The following is a 16,726-nucleotide window of genomic DNA, read 5'->3' on the forward strand; positions in this document are numbered from 1 at the left end:
TTTACATTTGCCTTTATATCTATGGCACAATAATACGATTTTAAAAACCTGTCTAAATAAGTCTAATATTTTTTCATAAATGTAAAATAATTTGGTGATAAATCATTGCATCAGTTTAATTGGAAATTAATTTTTATTGGTGATACAAAAATGACATTTTAATCAGATGCAATGAAATATGATAGTAATATCCAATATTAATCATTTTCAATGTGCCAGGGACAGTGCAAAGTGATATGTTTGGATCTTTTCACTTCATCCTCACAACAATCCTATGAAGTAGTTGCCATTATTTTCCTCTTCAGCAAAAGCTCAAAATAGCAAAGTAAATTTATACTTTCTGTATGTCCCATAAGATTTTCATACTTTGCAATGTTTTTTCTTGGAAAAAGGTCATCAGCCTCTTATTTAATAATTCCTCACCTTTAAGAATTTTAAGAACAAAATCTTTAGCACAGGCCTTTCATACCTGCTCCATATGTTATCCCAAGTGTGGCCTATATCTCTGTTCCATGTAGACCTCGAATTCTAGTTTCCTCTGTCTTGTGTTTAGAATGCTAAATTTGGTTCTCTCTGTTAAGGTCAAAACTCAGGCATAGAAAGAGAAGTTGGGGTTAAGAGGATTGGGACACTTAAAGTCTAATGGCTTAGACAAATATCTGAATGCGTAATATAATTCATAACACATGACAGGTGCTCGGCCTCTGTGTGTGTAGCAAGCTCTGACAAGGAAGGGACAACTTAGGACAAGCCCTAAGGAAAAGAAGAGAGGGCGTTTTTTAAACTCCTTTGGCTATATCACATATTGTGGATAATTCCAGTAAGCATTCCTGGGCTTCAGCAAGCTACTTAGGGGTGTTTGGTTATAACCCTTTCGCATCTTGTATCACTTAGGCCACAAGAGCATGCAGTATCTGCTTAATCTTGGACTACACATAATAGACTAGGTTATATAAAAGTCCTGAAAATGATTCAGTTGCAGCTTCCTGGAAAATGTGCAAGAAACTCTGACACATAATGACAAAAGCATAGGCTCAAAACCACAGTTACGAAAACTATTTAGGACTGTGCCATGGAAAGATATTAGTAACACTTACAGAGTATCAGACAGTAACATATTAGACAATAACATCTGCAGACTCGGTCCATGAATTTGCACTGGGTAATTGTACTGGGGGAAGAGAGGGACAAAAAGAATGTAGTTCGTCCTGGAAGAAGCCTAGTTAAGGAGATTGTGGACTTTGATTAAGAAATTATACTGGCAAGAGCCAGGACTGTGAGCACAACAAATTCTAGCTAATTCAACTCCATTTCACTCTTTATAACTCTCATTCATAGTTTGAGAATATAGGTACTAAGGGGCCTCTAATCTTAAAAGGATCTCAGAACTGTAAATGTATCTGCTCCAACTCATGGATTACGATAGAATAGACATGTTTCCTGATCTATAAATGTAAAACCCTAATGATATGAAAATCTAATTGTGCAGGGGAGGCACAGGCATATGTGCCTTCCTCTAAGTTCTGTTAGCAAGAAGATATTCCTGGAAGAAAAACAAACATGTACAATAAATCATTGTCATTTTTGACAGGACTTTTTTAAAAAGTATGTCAAATAGTTAAGAATTTAGTTAATAGGAAGAGATTCCTTGCTAAGAAAAGTTTACACAGAAAAATAACACTAGCAATCATGACATTGAATTTTTTAAGGGTTCGTATTCTCATTTGCTGCCCAGGGATGTACACAGACTAAAAGATTTATTCTCAGTTCTGGAGACCTATGATACAGCATGGTGACTAAAGTTAAGAATAATGTATTATGTACTTGAAAATTGCTAAGAGAGTAGATCTTAAATGTTCTCACCACAAAAAAGAATAAGTATATGAGGTGATAGATATGTTAATTAGCTTGATTTAATCATTCCATAATGTTTACATATATTAAAACATCACATTGTATGTACTATAAATACATACAATTTTTTTTAGTAATTTTTTTTGTCTTTTTAGAGACAAAGCCTGGATCTGTCACTCAGGCTGGAGTACAGTGGCATGATCATAGCTCACGGCAGCCTCCAACTCCTGGGCTCAAGTGATCCTTCCACTTCAGCCTCCTGAGTAGTTGGGACTATAGGCACATGCCACCATGCCTAGTTAAAGTAATTTTATTTTTTGTAGCGACAGGGTCTCATTATGTTGCCCAGGCTGGTCTCGAGCTCCTGGGCTCAAGTGATCCTCCTGCTTCGAGCTCCCAAAGTGCTGGGATTACAGGCATGAGCCACCATGCCCTGACACATACACAATTTTTATTTGTCAACTATACTTTAATAAATTTGGGGGGAAATCCTGAAAAGAGACATAATTCTTCACAGCCTTATTGTCAAAGGAAACAAACTTAAAGTTGCAAATAAACAAACGAAAACAACAACAACAAAAAAAGATTCATTCTCCCCTTCCCCATCATATGTACACACCCAGACAAGAAACCTGTTTCTAAATCGTCGCAGAAGTGGGGAGGGTGGAGAGAGAATAAAAGTCTTGCTGGGAGGAGCTTTTGAAAATAGACCCAGCCCTTCTTTGGATGTTATTAATGTAAATGTGTTGTGTGTGTGTGTTTGATTGGTGGGGGGGTTGGGAAGACAACCACTGATTAAGCATCTGAACACACAAGTCAGATACTCTGATAAGGTTAGTTTTAGAAACACTGTAACTCCTAACCATGTTATGACAACCTTTTACTATGCAGAGATGGGACGCTCCTTGGGCATGAACCACTGTATCCTGTAACTGAGTTTAGGTAGTAATGATTCCTGTTAGGGCATGAGTCTTCTGTGTTCTGTTTTCCAGTATTACCAAGACAACACTCATGACTGAACCACAACTAACACAGAGAACAGAAGCGCTTTATCAAGATGCACGTGAACTTCAGCTTTAGGATGGGTAGAATTACTGATATCTTTTTTACTTATATATTGAAAGAAATGTCACTATTCTTAACAAGAACTGTTTGCTTGTGCTCCTAAAAATACATCCTATGATAAATTTTACTTTATCCCAGTAAAGCATCAGTTTTTAAGCCCCAAAAGACATTTGCTGTGGACATTTTCTTTGCTTTCTTTTAGCATCAGGTAGCATGGGCATAAAGTCTGAAGGGAAAGAAGCAAGAACCCAATGAATCAGTTAAAAAGGCATGAGAATCCCTATCACTTTGCATTATTACTATGAATGCTTTAGATATTTGACTATTAACACTCACTGGTATGAAAGTAGTACAGTCAAAAATGCAGTATTTGGACAGAAGTATAAAAAAGTGATCTTGTTGTTCTCACAAAGTTAAGTGTCTCCACCTTCTCAGGGTTGCTAATGCTGTTTTCCCATGGCCTGTTGGAAAATATCACTATTTTCTTTGGGTTATTTCCAGGTGCTTTATTGAGAGGGCAAGATGGAGGAAGAGAAGGCTGTTGTGAATCACTTAATTATGGAAAGACAGGGAGTGCTGACTTCAATACGCTTCTGTTTCTTCTACATAAACTCTCATAATCATGGAGGAGGAAGGATGGTCAGAAAATGTAGCATTAGTGATTTGCTGATTGTTCTAGCATAACAATTCTCAAATATTTTTATCCTATAATCTTACCTTTGTACCTTAAACCAGTGTTTCTAAACTGTGTAAAGATGGACCAATTTTTTTAAATTTCCAATCCATTGCAGACCAATGCCTTTGTAAAATACAGTTAAAATGAATTACTAGAAAAGCAAAATGTTTAAAGCCAAGAATACAAAATATAAGCCCAAAAAATTTACATTGATTTTAATAGACATAAAATATTCTGTCAAATTACTATTCAAGTTTATAAATGCTTACTCTCAATGCCTGCACTTATCTTGCTGCAGACAGTAACAAACTATCCCTAACTATAGTTTGACAATTAGTCACACATATATACACAAACACAGAACATATACACAGCACAGATGCACACACACACTGACATATCAGAGAAAGTAAATTTCTATCCACTTAAAAAATAGCTTAAACGTATATTATTACATTGCATAGTTTTTAAAAACACTTCATACAAAAAAAAGCTGATGAGAAAACAGCAGTCTCTTACCCCATCTCTCCCTATCTTCTAGTGCCCACCCAGAGAGGCAGCTATCTAATAACTAAACCTGTCAGAAAAGCAACAGATGTCACCCACCCACCTTCCAACCTGACCTTCCTCTTGGGGCTCTCTTACCTATCCTTCTCAATCCCAAGTTGTTGCTTCTGAGACCGTTGCACACATACTGTCCTGAGCATTCTTTCTGCTCCCTTCTATAAGAAGGTTCCTTTTGAAATAGGTTGTATTATTGTTCAAAATATTTGCTATTCCTGCATTGGGGTGGATTCTACTTCTTCATCCCATTGATATGAGTCTTGGCCATGATTTGTGATGTCAGCCTTATAGACATGCTGTAATAGAAGGATTTCAGATCCTTGCCCTGTTAAACTCAGAAGTGACCAGGTGATTTGGATTAGCCAGTGATACATCAATTCCAGGTGAAAGCTTAAAAGGCAGACTTACCATCGCTGTCTTCTCCCTCTGTCATAAGACTAGCAATGTCCCAGATAGAGCATGCTCCATTATCCTGCATCCCATAAACCTATGATGTAAACCATGGAGAGTTTGGTGTTATTTGTTACTGCATCATAGCCTAAGCTGACAAATATATCCTTGTTCCTGGCTCCTTTTTTGGATTACTCCCTCATTTGGTATTCTAGTAGCTTCCTGAGAAAGTATTCATAACAGGCAAAGACTTAGTAGTCTGAAAACAACAGAATAATGGATTTGGTATAATTTTCTCTCAGAATTAGAAAGCATTGATACGTTATTTTCTAGCTTCAATGATGCTGTTGAGAAGTCCAAGGCCAATCTCACTCCTAATCCTTTGTATGTAACCCTTAATCCCCACCTACAAGGTTGTATGTGTTTTTAAAAAAATAACTGTTATTCCAAAATGTCATGGTCACAGGTCCTTTTCAAGAGATTTAAATACCTCTTTCAATCTTAATGTTCATGTGTTTCTAATCTAGGAGAATATCTCCTATCATTTTTCTCTTTAAGATCATCTTTTAGTCCTTTTTTTAAAAAAAATAATTTAGCCTTTTCAAAGTTATATATGTTCACAGTTTGAAGAGTCAAAAGCCCTCTCACTGAATATTTACCCTTCCCCAAAGACAGCCACTGTAAATGCTTTTAGCTGATTCTTTGGAATTGACTACCATATCTCTAAATAAAATGTTTTAATTGTGGCAATGTGATATTTCTGCTTTAGACATTATTTATTGACTTCATTATGGAAATAAGAGGTCTCCTCCCTCTCTGCATGCCCACCACATACATTCACCTTTCACCGTGTATCATTATTTTAGTTAGATTAATAATCAGTATTTCTATTATTAGAACCTTGTATTTTAGTCAGATTTGAGCCAAATATAAACTATGATTACTTTTCTTCTCCTACCCAACTCTTTGTTTTCCCTGGAGTTAATAAGTGTATTGTTCTTTTCATTAGTTTTCTAAGAAGATATCACTAATTCAGAACTATCTACCACTTGTTCAAATCTCGTCTCAATACATTCAAACACATCAGATTTTCTGTTTGTTTGGTCAGTTGGTTAGATGGTTTGCTGACTTATCTCTTTCATGCTGAACACTTTCTTTAAGCGTATGCTAATCCCTGATTTTCCAGTCATATTTAAGAACGCACTAAGATGATGAAGGAAAGCTCTGTGTGCATAACAGAACTTGGATATATTTTAGTGAGCAATTTTTTAGCAGCCTATATATCTTTTAAACGTTTAGCTAAAATGTTCTGTAGGCCCCCCTTTGTACTTTTTTCCTAGCTTCTGCAAATGGAATGAAAAAGTACAGCCTCCAATTCCTTCTGCAGGCACTTAGGTATCAGCTCCCTCTACTCTGCCAAGTCAGTTACCTTTCTTCCACCCACTTTTCATCTTCCAAACATATGTTGAGTTCTCTCAATTTCTGTTACCTCCTTTCCTGCCCTTTTTGTCCTCAGAAGGTTATATTAATTTCTTATTGCTGCTGTAACAAATTACCACAAACTTAATGGCTTAAAACAACACAAATTTATTATCTTACAGTTATGGAGGGCTGAAGTACAAAATCAGTCTCAGTGGGCTAAAATCAAGGTGTCAGCAGGGCTGCATTCCTCCTGAAAACTCTAGGGGAGAATCTGTTTCTTTGACTTTTCTAGCTCCCAGAGGTTGTTTGCATTCCTTGGCTCATGGCCTCATCTTCCTTCTTCAAAGCCAGCAGTGGAGCAAATCCTAACTCTCCTTCCTCCCTCTTTCCCCATAAGGATATTTGTAATCACATTAGGCCCACCCAAAACCTCCAAATTAATCTCCTCATCTCAAACTCCTTCACTTAATCAAATTTGCAAAGTCCCTTTTGCCATGAGAGAAAACATATTCATAGGTTCCAAGAATCAGGACATGGACATCTTGGGGGAGAGAGCATTGTTCTACATAAGGTTTTATACTTTGATTTTTCTTTTTTTTTTTTTTTTTTTGAGACAGAGCCTTGCTCTGTCAACAACCAGGCTGGAGTGCAGTGGCACAATCTCAGCTCACTGTAACCTCCGCCTCCTAGGTTCAAGTGATTCTCCTGCCTCAGCCTCACAAGTAGCTGCGATTACAGGCATGTACCACCACATCTGGCTAATTTTTGTATTTTTAGTAGAGATGGGGTTTCAGCATGTTGCCCAGACTGGTCTCGAACTCCTGACCTCAGGTGATCCACCCACCTTGGCCTCCCAAAGTGCTGGGATTACAAGTGTTAGCCACTGCGCTGGCCGGTTTTATACTTTTCTTATTCTTTACTGTGGGGTATCAGGAAAGAAAAGAGTAAAAAGCATTGTTCAATCATCTTGTTTAATCAGGAACCCAAATAGTATGTGCCCTGCGTTCCAATCTTTGAGACTCTTCTCACATCTACTTCTGATATAGATATAATAACAGCACAGAAATAATCAAATCTCACTAAAGTCCTCAATCCACATATGAAACTAGAACAGGGCCAGGCATGGTGGCTCAAGCCTGTAATCCCAGCACTTTGGAAGGCCGAGGCAGGCAGATCACCTGAAGTCAGGAGTTCAAGACCAGCCTGGCCAACATGGCAAAACCCCATCTCTATTAAAAATGCAAAAATTAGCTGGGTGTGGTGGTGCATGCCTGTAGTCCCAGCTACTCTGGAGGCTGAGGCAGGAGAATTATTTGAATCTGGCGGGTAGAGGTTACAGTGAGCAGAGATCACGCTACGGCACTCCAGCCTGGGCAACAGCGAGACTCCATCTCAAAAAAAAAAAAAAAAAAGAAAAAAGAAAAGAAGCTAGAACAGGCCTCAGAAATGTTTTCATAAACTCTGTCACTGTTTTGGAAAGCAGGCAGAATAGGAATGGGAAGAAAATAAAAGTAGAAAAAAGAAAAAAAATGAGAGGGGGGAAAGTTTTTTTTAAAGGAAATGCATATGACAAGATTATGAAATGTGCAGGTTACTTAGTAATCTGGTGCTACCTGTGGACTAGCAGAGAAGAATCAATAGGATTCTTGGGAACAGGAAGGCAACATCATATATGAACAAAAAAGCTAAAGTTAGAATTGGAAGTTCTAAATTCAGACCCCAATTCTCAAACTTACAAGTTTGATCTTGTGGAAGTCAGTTAGGTAACTTGGTTCTATAGCTGAGGAACCTGAAACCCAGAGAAGTTATCTGAATTTAAATTAGCACATATATGTAAAAGACCCTAGGAAAACATCCATCACACAGCAGTTGAATGTCAGCTGTATCTGAAGCAGACAGTGGCACTAATTGAAAACTTAGCATTTTGGCACTGGCAGTGATTCCATAACACGAAAACCCAACAGCTAGAAGGCAGATTGAAAGAAAACCATCTCTTCCATTTCTAAAAAGGTAGGCTAGCCTAGCCACAAGAAAATTCACCTTAATACCTGGATATAATTGCAGATAGGCTATAGAAATATCACTTAAATTCATTCAGATTTTTTTTTTACCAAGTCTGGATGGAACATTCAAAAAAATTTTATCAAACTCCTCCAACATGCCAAACACCATGATAGGTATTAAGGGTACAGCAATGAATAAGACAGACACAATCTCTGTCTTCACAGAGATTAGTCCAGCAGGGAAACAGACAATTCACCAAACAATGACAATTATGATAGGTGCTTTGATGGAAATAAAAACGTAGAGTCCAGGGACCTAAACCAGACTAGGGTGTTGGTGTTGGGGAGTTATGTGTGGCTCTCAACAGTTAATGACACACCCTTAAGAGCACAGCTAAAGAGCAGGAGCTAGTGAAGCAAAGATACAGGGGAAAGGTTTGGCAGAGTGTTTCAAGGAGCCCACTCCTTTGACTAGAAAGAGTGACAAAGTACCTTGGAGGCCAGTCAGCCTAAATCTTGTATTATGCATGAAACAGCAACAGGGTTGATGCCAGAAGAAAGTGCTTGGTTACGAAGGTGCTTTTAGAATGGCAGAATTACCGTGATGGAGTCATAGTTATTTTGCTTTCTTTTCAAGGTAAAGTTCTTCTCCCCTTTTCATTCTGTAAGCAGGCAGTGGAACACAATGGTTAAGAGTTCAGGCTCTAAAGCCTGTCAGAATGTGCCTGGGTTCACATTCTGACTCTGACACTCACTGGCTCTAAGACCACAGACACGTTTCTTCTCTGGTTTCAGTTTACTCATCTGTAAAATGTTCCTAATATTAATATTTCCCTCACTGGGTTGTTGTGAGGATTAAATTAGGTAATATATCAAAAGGTGTTTAGAACAGTGCCAGCACAAAGCAAGCACTCAATACATCTTTTTTTTTTTTTTTTTCCTGAGACAGAGTCTCACTCTGTCGCCCAGGCTGGAGTGCAAGTGGTACGATCTCGGCTCAGTGCAACCTTCGCCTCCCGGGTGAAGTGATCCTCCTGCCTCAGCCTTCCAAGTAGCTGCGGACTGCAAGCACGTGCCACCACGCCCAGCTAATTTTTGTATTTTCAGTAGAGACGGGGTTTCACCATGTTGGCCAGGCTGGTCTCGAACTCTTGACCTCATGATCTGGCCGCCTCAGCCTCCCAAAGTGCTGAGATTACAGGCTTGAGCCACCATACCCAGCCAATAAATCTTTGCTTGTTACTGTTCCTGGTTTTAGTGCCAGCCACTGGACTTTTTGCAATTTCTAAGATAATAAGAGACCACCTGACATGTTTACATGGTATTGCTTTCAGTTGCAGAGAAGATGGAGCATGCAGCAGCACTAGTATCCTACCATTTGGCCCTTGAAATGCTAATTACAAGCTACCAGAATCTTGCTGATCAGTTCTCCAGTTCCGACTCTGTGACATGGGAAGACCAGAAAGCTTCAAAGAGGTCTTCGTCTCTTTAAGGTTATAAGGAACCCAGACAGAAATGGCAGAGTGTAGCCACATAGAAATTGGGCACCACAAGAAGCTGTTAGCTTGGTGGAGCCACCATGATTCAGGCTGTAATACAGAAGCTCAATATTTATAGATGCACCTACAGGTGATCAGTCTAAGAAAGACCTGCTTATGCTAATCCAGGAGATTACATCCAAAATTTCAATTGCATTCATTCAACAAATATTTGAGTCCCAGCTGTGTACCAGGTACTCTTCTAGATGTTAAGGATACAGCAGCGAAAAAAAAAGGGACAAAAGTCCCTGCCCTAGAGGGGGCAGACAATAAACACAATAAATAAGTTAATATATAGCACAGAGAAAGTGATATGTGCAATGGAGAAAAATAAGTAGTAAAGGAAAATAGGGAGAGCAAAAGAGCAAAGAGGTGGTTGTTCGGTGATCAATTTCCACCAGAGTAGTAAGGAAAGGCCTCACAGAAACAGGAGCATTTGAGCAAAGACATGAGGAGTCAAGGAAGACATGGATATCTGGGAGAAGCATTCAGAGCAGAGGAAATAGCAAGGGCAAAGTCTCTTGGGAGAAAGTGTGTTCAAAGTGTTTGAGAAACAGCAAGGAGGCCGCCAATGTGACTGAACAGAGAATGGAGGGGAATAACAGAAGGAACTAAGACCAGAGAGGTAAGGGGGTGTACAGGGACTAATTGTAAAAATAAGTGCTTTTACTCTGAGTGAGATAGGAAGCTTTTAGAAAGTTTTGAACAGTCTTAATATGGTCTGCTCTATATTTTAAAGGTATCACTCTGGCTGCTGTGTTGAGAATAGAATGAATGTTAAGGGTAGCTAATACAAAATTCTAGTCAATGATGACAGTAGTTTGGACCAAGCTGCTATCAGTGGAGTTGGGGAGAGTGGTCATATATTTTGAAGAGAGAGCAATAGGCTTTGATGACAAACTGAATGTGGGATATAAAAGAGTTGCTGAGTTGGCCTCAGCAATCAAATGATGGAGTTGCCAATAACTGAGATAAAGAAGGTTGTAGGTAGAGAAAGTTTTTGAGGGGAAGGGGTATGCTGAGTTTTGTTTTGGATATGATCAAATGAAGAGGTCTATTAAATATACAAGTAAAGATGCTGAGGTACTTGGAATACAAGTTTGGGTTTAAGACTTGGGAGTTGTGAGCATATTTACATGTAAAGACAGAAGACTGAATGAGAGCACTATAGGAAAGGGGGTAGGAACAGAAGAAAAAAATTCCAAGGCAGAGGCCTGGGACACTCCAATATTAAGAGGTCATGAGCAGGAGTTTGAGAACAGTGACTAGTAGTGTAGGACTAAAACCAGGAGACTGAAGTATCCTATAAACTAAGTGGAGAAAGTGTTAAAGGGAGGAGGGAGTAATCAACTATGGCAAATGCTGATAGGTCAAGGATAGAGACAAAGAACTGGCTATTGGATTAACTAACAAAATAACAAAGTAATTGGAGAGTAATTTCAGTGGAATGCTGGGGGCAAGAGGTAGTTAAAATAGTTTTAATAGAAAACAGGAGAAAAGGAATTGGGGCAGTGAATATAGAACTCTTTCAAGGATTTTATAGTAAAGGAGAACAAAAACAAATGGGACAGTAGCTGGAAGGGGAAGTAAAAGCCAAAATTTTTTTTGTTTTGTTTTTCTGGTTTTTAAAATCAGTTTTAAGATACAATACATTAATTTGCATGGGGGAAATGTAACTGGTAAACAGACCAGAAATAGTTGTGAAGAGATTAGTGCTTTCTTTTCTATCTGGAAAGTCAAATTAAAATCACAGCTGGGTGTGGTAAGCTCATGCCTGTAATCATAGCACTTTGGGAGGCTGAGGTGGGAGGACTGCTTGAGCCCAGGAGTTTGAGACGAGCCTAAGCAACACAGGGAGACCCGTCTCTACAAAAAATAAATTTAAAAATATTAGCTGGACATGATGGTGTGTGCCTGTCATCCCAGCTACTCAGGAGGCTGAGGTGGGAGGATTGCTTCAGCCAGGAGATAGAGGCTGCAGTGAGCCATGATCGCACCAGTGCACTCCAGCCTGAGCAACAGAGTGAGATCTTGTCTCAAAAATACTAAACAAATAAATAATAAATAATAAAATAAAACCACAGGATTACTTAGTGAGCATTGATAACAGCTCCTTTCACATTGATTTCAACTGTGAAGAGTCTCAGCATCCCCTTCTTCTCAGCAGGGGAAGAATTTCTGAGTAGATCTGATGCTTGAATCAGCAGGGTAGAGCACACTCCCTTGGCCAGTGCTGGAGAAACTGTTACCATTCATTCACTCTTTCATTCAACAGACACTGCTGAGCACCTACTATTACATGACAGTTACTAGGATACAAGTTCAACAAAACACAACTTTGCCTTTAGAGAGTTCATGGTTCAATAAAGAATATATGTAAGTATACATGAAATGAATAAGTATAGTTATAAGAGTTAAGAGTGGTACATGTATATAAAAGAGACAAAAACAAATTAAGTGGTTATCTATTCAGTAATGGGGACATTTGGGTCATTCACATTTTTTTAGCCATTATAAATAGAGGGATACTGAGGATTTCAATTAATTCCTCACCCAGAAGTATTTATTTATTGCTATCTATTATATTAAGACTATAGGAAATCTTACCAAATAAGAAAGAAACCCATAATATATCCCCCTCCTTGCTTTAAGGCACTAATCCCATTCACAAGGGGTTTACCTCCCAAGTAGAGAAGTTGAAAATGTTAGGACATTTGAGAGGAAAGACAATCTGTTTTATTCATAATTTCCCCAGTCTCTAGAAGAATGCCTGGCACAAAGGAGGTGCTCCACAGATATTTTTAGAATAAATGAAATAGGTCACCATGGTCTTGGGGTTAGGTAGGAAAGCAAATCACAGGAGGTGATGAACTAGGGCAGGCAGGGTTCATGGAACTTGAGCTCACAGTGAGGGTGAAAATTATATTCGACAGCAGAAATGAGCAAAAAATAACAGGAAGAGGAAGTTGTGATTATAGAAAAGCTCTCAAATACTACTTTCTCTTTGAAGCCTTTTATAATCATCTTATGGGACCTTCCCCCTATTCTGGACCTCTTTCAAGATACTTTTCTTATACTCTATCAAGTTACATCCATGTGTGCTCCTCTTTCATCTCCCTGATATTGACCACATTTTGCAATTGGAAAACTGAGTCAAAAATGGGGGATCACCTGTAGTCCCAGCTACTCAGGAGGCTGAGGGCAAGAGAGTCACTTGAGCCCAGGGGTGTGGGGCTGTCACATGCGATGACCGCTCCTGTGTACAGCCACTGCACTTCAGCCTGAGCAACACAGCGAGAGACTGATCCTGGAAAAAATTTCTTTTAAAATGCAGGTGGCTTCCAAATCCCAGAGACAAAACTTGGATGCTGAAAGGAGAAATGTCAGATAGTGAGATTGAAAATGCTAGAGTATATCCGAAGAGAGAATATCCAAGAGAGAAATGTCAAAGTAGAGAGGCTGAAAATCTAGAGTATACCCAAAATGTTAGTAGTAAAATAACTTGCATTGGAATGAATGGATGATTGAATAAATGAATGAACAAAGTTAGGTGGGAACGGAGGTCATTTGAGCAGAAGTCAAGAAGAATATATGTTTTAATAATTGTTTGAGGCCCACTGGTCTGACAGTAAGGGCCCAAATGAATAGGGAAAGCTAGCCTCCAGTTAGAAGACACCTAGGAAGTTAGCAAAATAATCAATGATAATAGAGTCTAAATGAAGGTTAGTGTATATAAAAAGGAAGAATGAATATGAGGACATTTTTAAATAAAAACTCACCATATTTGGTGGGTGATAATTATAGGTTATGAGTAAATAATTCCAAAGTTTTTTGATATCATGTATAGAGCCACGGTAAGAAGAGCAGGAAGATGAACTCAATTTTGAAAACGTATTTGACACGAGGATAAGCTATCCAAGTAAAAGCTAGTAATAGGCAACATTTTTCCTAACATTGTTCCAAGTATACTTCACATGTATTATGTCACGTAATCATTACAATAACACTATGAGGTGCTATTATCATCTTTATTTTACAGATGGGAAAACTGAGGCACAAGAGTGAACAATTTGCCCAAAGTCATTAGCTAATAAGTGGCTGAGCCAGTGCAATGAATTCACCCCCACCCCTGTCTCCTGCAAATTCGTATTTTTGAAATCTTCACCCTCAATGTGATGGTATTAGGAGATGAGGCCTTTGGGAGGTAAACCCCTTGTGAATGGGATTAGTGCCTTATAAAAGCAACCCGAGAGCTCTTGCTCTCTTTCTGCATTGTGAGGTAAAGGGAAAAAACAGCCATCTACAACCCTGAAGAGGGCCTTCACCAGAACCTGACCATGTTGGCAGCCTGATTTCAGATATCCAGCCTCCAGAGCTATGAGAAATACATTTCTGTTGTTTATAAGCCACCAGTCTATATGGTACTTTACTACGGCAACCTGAACTCACTGAGAGCCAGGATTTGAATTCAAATGTTGAGAAAACTTTGCCCGGGACCACTCAGAAATTCACTATTTATTCGATAAATACCTAACAAGTACCACTATATTCTAGACATTGTGCTGTTGCTAGGGAGAGGAAAAGCTGGTAGTGAACAAGACAGACGTGGTCCTTACCTGCACAATTACATGGACACTAAACAAATAATGAGAAGTAGGAATTGGAAAAGAAAGTGATAAGTTACAGTTAAGTAGGAGGAATGGGTGACAGAAAAAAATTCCAGGGGAAGGGAAGGGCATGTGTAAATGCCCTGAAGTGAGAGCCTACAGTAGGGAATAAAAAGAGGAGAGCCTGGAAAAAATTAAAATACTATGGCAGGAGTGCAGGCAGCTAGGGGGACAGATGGAGAGGCTGGAGAGAAAGACAAGTACAGATAATGGAGCTTAGACAATGTGTGGTAAGCAAAGGGAGACCACTGGAGGAATTTAAGCAGGTCAATGATCAGATTTATATTTAAAAAATTACTCTGGCAGCAGTATGGCAAATGTATTGGAACGAGGCAAGAGCAGTTTTGGAGGACCTGAATGGGTTACTGTGGGACTTCAAGCAAGAGGCAACAGTGGTTTAGACTAGAATGGGAATGAAAAAATGGTCATGGGAACAGAGAGAGGTCACAAATCCAATTTTCCAGGGAGCAGACAGATGTAGGTGATTCTGCTGTGTGTTGGAGGTGTGCTAGGTTTCTGGCATGAACTGGGTAGATGTTAAGATACCCTTTACTGAACCAGGGACTATGGGAGGAGCGTTTTGAAGGAATTATGATATACGGGTTGAGTTTGAAATGCCCTAAGTCATCCAAATGAAAGTGTACCAAAGGCAGTATGCTGGGAACTATGAATGTAGGATTCCAGAGCAAGATCTAGGCTTGAGTTATGGATTGAAGAGTCTTTGACAGAGGGTATTTGATGCTGCTGGGAGAGCATAAGACCACCTAGGAAAGTGTATGGGGAGACTCAGTAAGAGGGCCAGGGTTCAGCTCAGCATGATTCCAATGTGTAAGAGGTAGATCAAGGAGGAGCTGGTTGTTAAAGAGCAAACTCAGGTAGGGAGGAAACCTGGGACATAAGACCAGAGGGAAGAGGGTATTTGGAAGCAACTGTGGTCAATCGCGTCAAATACTGGGATGAGGGCTTGTAAAATGAGGACTGAAAATGATCCGCTGCATTTACAGTCATGAAGCTTGTCTGTGGACAATTCAGAGCCACTTCAGGTGAGCGGTGGGGACACTGGAGAGGGCTGGGAGGTGGGACATGAAAGACTGTCCATGGGGTAAGAGACAGCTGCAGTTGTTGGAGAGCAATTTAGGGAGAAGAGAAATCTTTTTAAAGAATTGAAAGACTTAAGCATGTTTAAATACCAGTAAGAAAGAGCCGGTAGAGAAGGAAAGGTTGAGAGTAACAGAAGGAAAGGAGACTCGTTAAGGGCAAAGTCCATAAGAAAACAGTAGGGTACCTGGAGTACCAGGAAGGACAACTCTTTCTTTACAAGAGAAGTGAGTCATGGGCGGAGTCCAGAATCGAACCCTCTCTGCTTCCTAAAGACACGTCTCCTTTAAAGGACAGAAAAAGAATGATTAAGACTTGAGGCCGGGCGCGGTGGCTCATACGTGTAACCCCACCACTTTAGGAGGCCGAGGCGGGTGGATTACCTGAGGTCAGGAGTTCCATACCAGCCTGGCCAACATGGTGAAACCCCGTCTCTACTAACAACACAAAAATTAGCCAGGTGTGGTGGCAGGTGCCTGTAATCCCAGCTACTAGGGAGGCTGAGGCAGGAGAATCGCTCGAAACCGGGAGGCGGAGGTTGCAGTGAGCCGAGATCGTGCCACTGCACTCCAGCCTGGGCGACAAGGGCTAGACTCCGTCTCATTAAAAAAAAAAAAAAAAAAAAAAAGACTTGAAACCCCAAGGAGAGGGCTGCAGAGTTCACTATCAAGGAGAATGGGGACCTAGTGGTGCCGTCCTGAGAGACCTCTGAAAGAACAATTCAGTAGTTTCCAGCCACGGAAGTCCCCCTGCTGGGTTTAGGGTGCAGTGGGTGCGAATCCCTGCTGTAGAAAACAGGCTGAGGAAAGAAAGCGACACAGGATGTTGTCTGGAGAAAGGCGGGGAGGTAGGATGGGGCATATTTCCAGGGGTCCGGGCAGGTTGTGTGGCTTGGAGGCCTCCGAGGGCCGTCGACGTCAGCCATGGTCCGGGCAGAGCCCCGCAAGGTGCCACAGTATCGGGGCCAGCGCCCCCCGGAAAAGCATGCTCCGCTGGCGGCCGCCAGGTTTCTCCGCGGAGTCTCGGAAAGGAAAACCCGTCCCCACGGGGGTCCCACGACGCCCCCGGGTCCCAGGCCCCGGGACGTTGGCAGAGGCGCAGCAGACCTTCTTCCCCAGCCCGCACGGCTCCAGCGGTCCGGCCGCGTCCCAGCCCGGGCTGCCCGTCCCCCGTCTCCCGGCGGCGTCGGAAAGTTCCCGGGGCTGGCGGCGGTCAAGAGCAGAGCCAGGGCAGCCGCAGCCGCCTTCTAGCCCGCCGCTCACCGCCGCAGGGGCAGGCCTGAGCGGGGGTTTCCACCAAGTCGCCGACACCCCTCGGGAATTCCCCCACTGGGCCACACACAAACCCCGCTTCCTCCTTCAAATTTCCGCTGCCGGCTTTACCGATGCGAAAGCCGCGGTGGAGTTTAGACCACTCCTCCCGGCGCCGGGCTCAGCCCGCCTTCGCCTT

At 40.9% G+C, this 16,726-nt stretch overlaps 1 long non-coding RNA gene across 2 annotated transcripts, besides 4 other annotated features; it reads right to left on the bottom strand.

Moving 5' to 3' along the window:
* Positions 1 to 7,368: 7,368 nt before the first annotated feature.
* On the bottom strand, positions 7,369 to 16,545 carry LOC124907970 (uncharacterized). 2 transcript variants are annotated; one of them, XR_007088060.1, is made up of 3 exons: positions 16,384 to 16,545; positions 15,465 to 15,561; positions 7,369 to 12,880 (listed from the first exon to the last, which is right to left on the bottom strand). It is a non-coding gene; the product is annotated as an uncharacterized LOC124907970 (long non-coding RNA). The 2 variants fall into 2 exon arrangements; XR_007088059.1 differs by lacking the exon at positions 7,369 to 12,880 and having other exon boundaries at positions 13,527 to 15,561; positions 15,661 to 16,545.
* Positions 8,472 to 8,521: an enhancer, noted in NCBI's record as "active region_17039". NCBI's record gives its function as "activates an Ori minimal core promoter by ATAC-STARR-seq in GM12878 lymphoblastoid cells {active_cell/tissue: GM12878}" and the evidence as "EXISTENCE:reporter gene assay evidence [ECO:0000049][PMID:35858748]".
* Positions 10,099 to 10,178: a silencer, noted in NCBI's record as "silent region_12276". NCBI's record gives its function as "represses an Ori minimal core promoter by ATAC-STARR-seq in GM12878 lymphoblastoid cells {active_cell/tissue: GM12878}" and the evidence as "EXISTENCE:reporter gene assay evidence [ECO:0000049][PMID:35858748]".
* Positions 16,279 to 16,458: a silencer, noted in NCBI's record as "silent region_12277". NCBI's record gives its function as "represses an Ori minimal core promoter by ATAC-STARR-seq in GM12878 lymphoblastoid cells {active_cell/tissue: GM12878}" and the evidence as "EXISTENCE:reporter gene assay evidence [ECO:0000049][PMID:35858748]".
* Positions 16,479 to 16,678: an enhancer, noted in NCBI's record as "active region_17040". NCBI's record gives its function as "activates an Ori minimal core promoter by ATAC-STARR-seq in GM12878 lymphoblastoid cells {active_cell/tissue: GM12878}" and the evidence as "EXISTENCE:reporter gene assay evidence [ECO:0000049][PMID:35858748]".

The sequence above is a fragment of the Homo sapiens genome, chromosome 2 (assembly GCF_000001405.40).
Source record: "Homo sapiens chromosome 2, GRCh38.p14 Primary Assembly".
In the NCBI taxonomy this organism is placed as follows: Eukaryota; Metazoa; Chordata; class Mammalia; order Primates; family Hominidae; genus Homo; species Homo sapiens.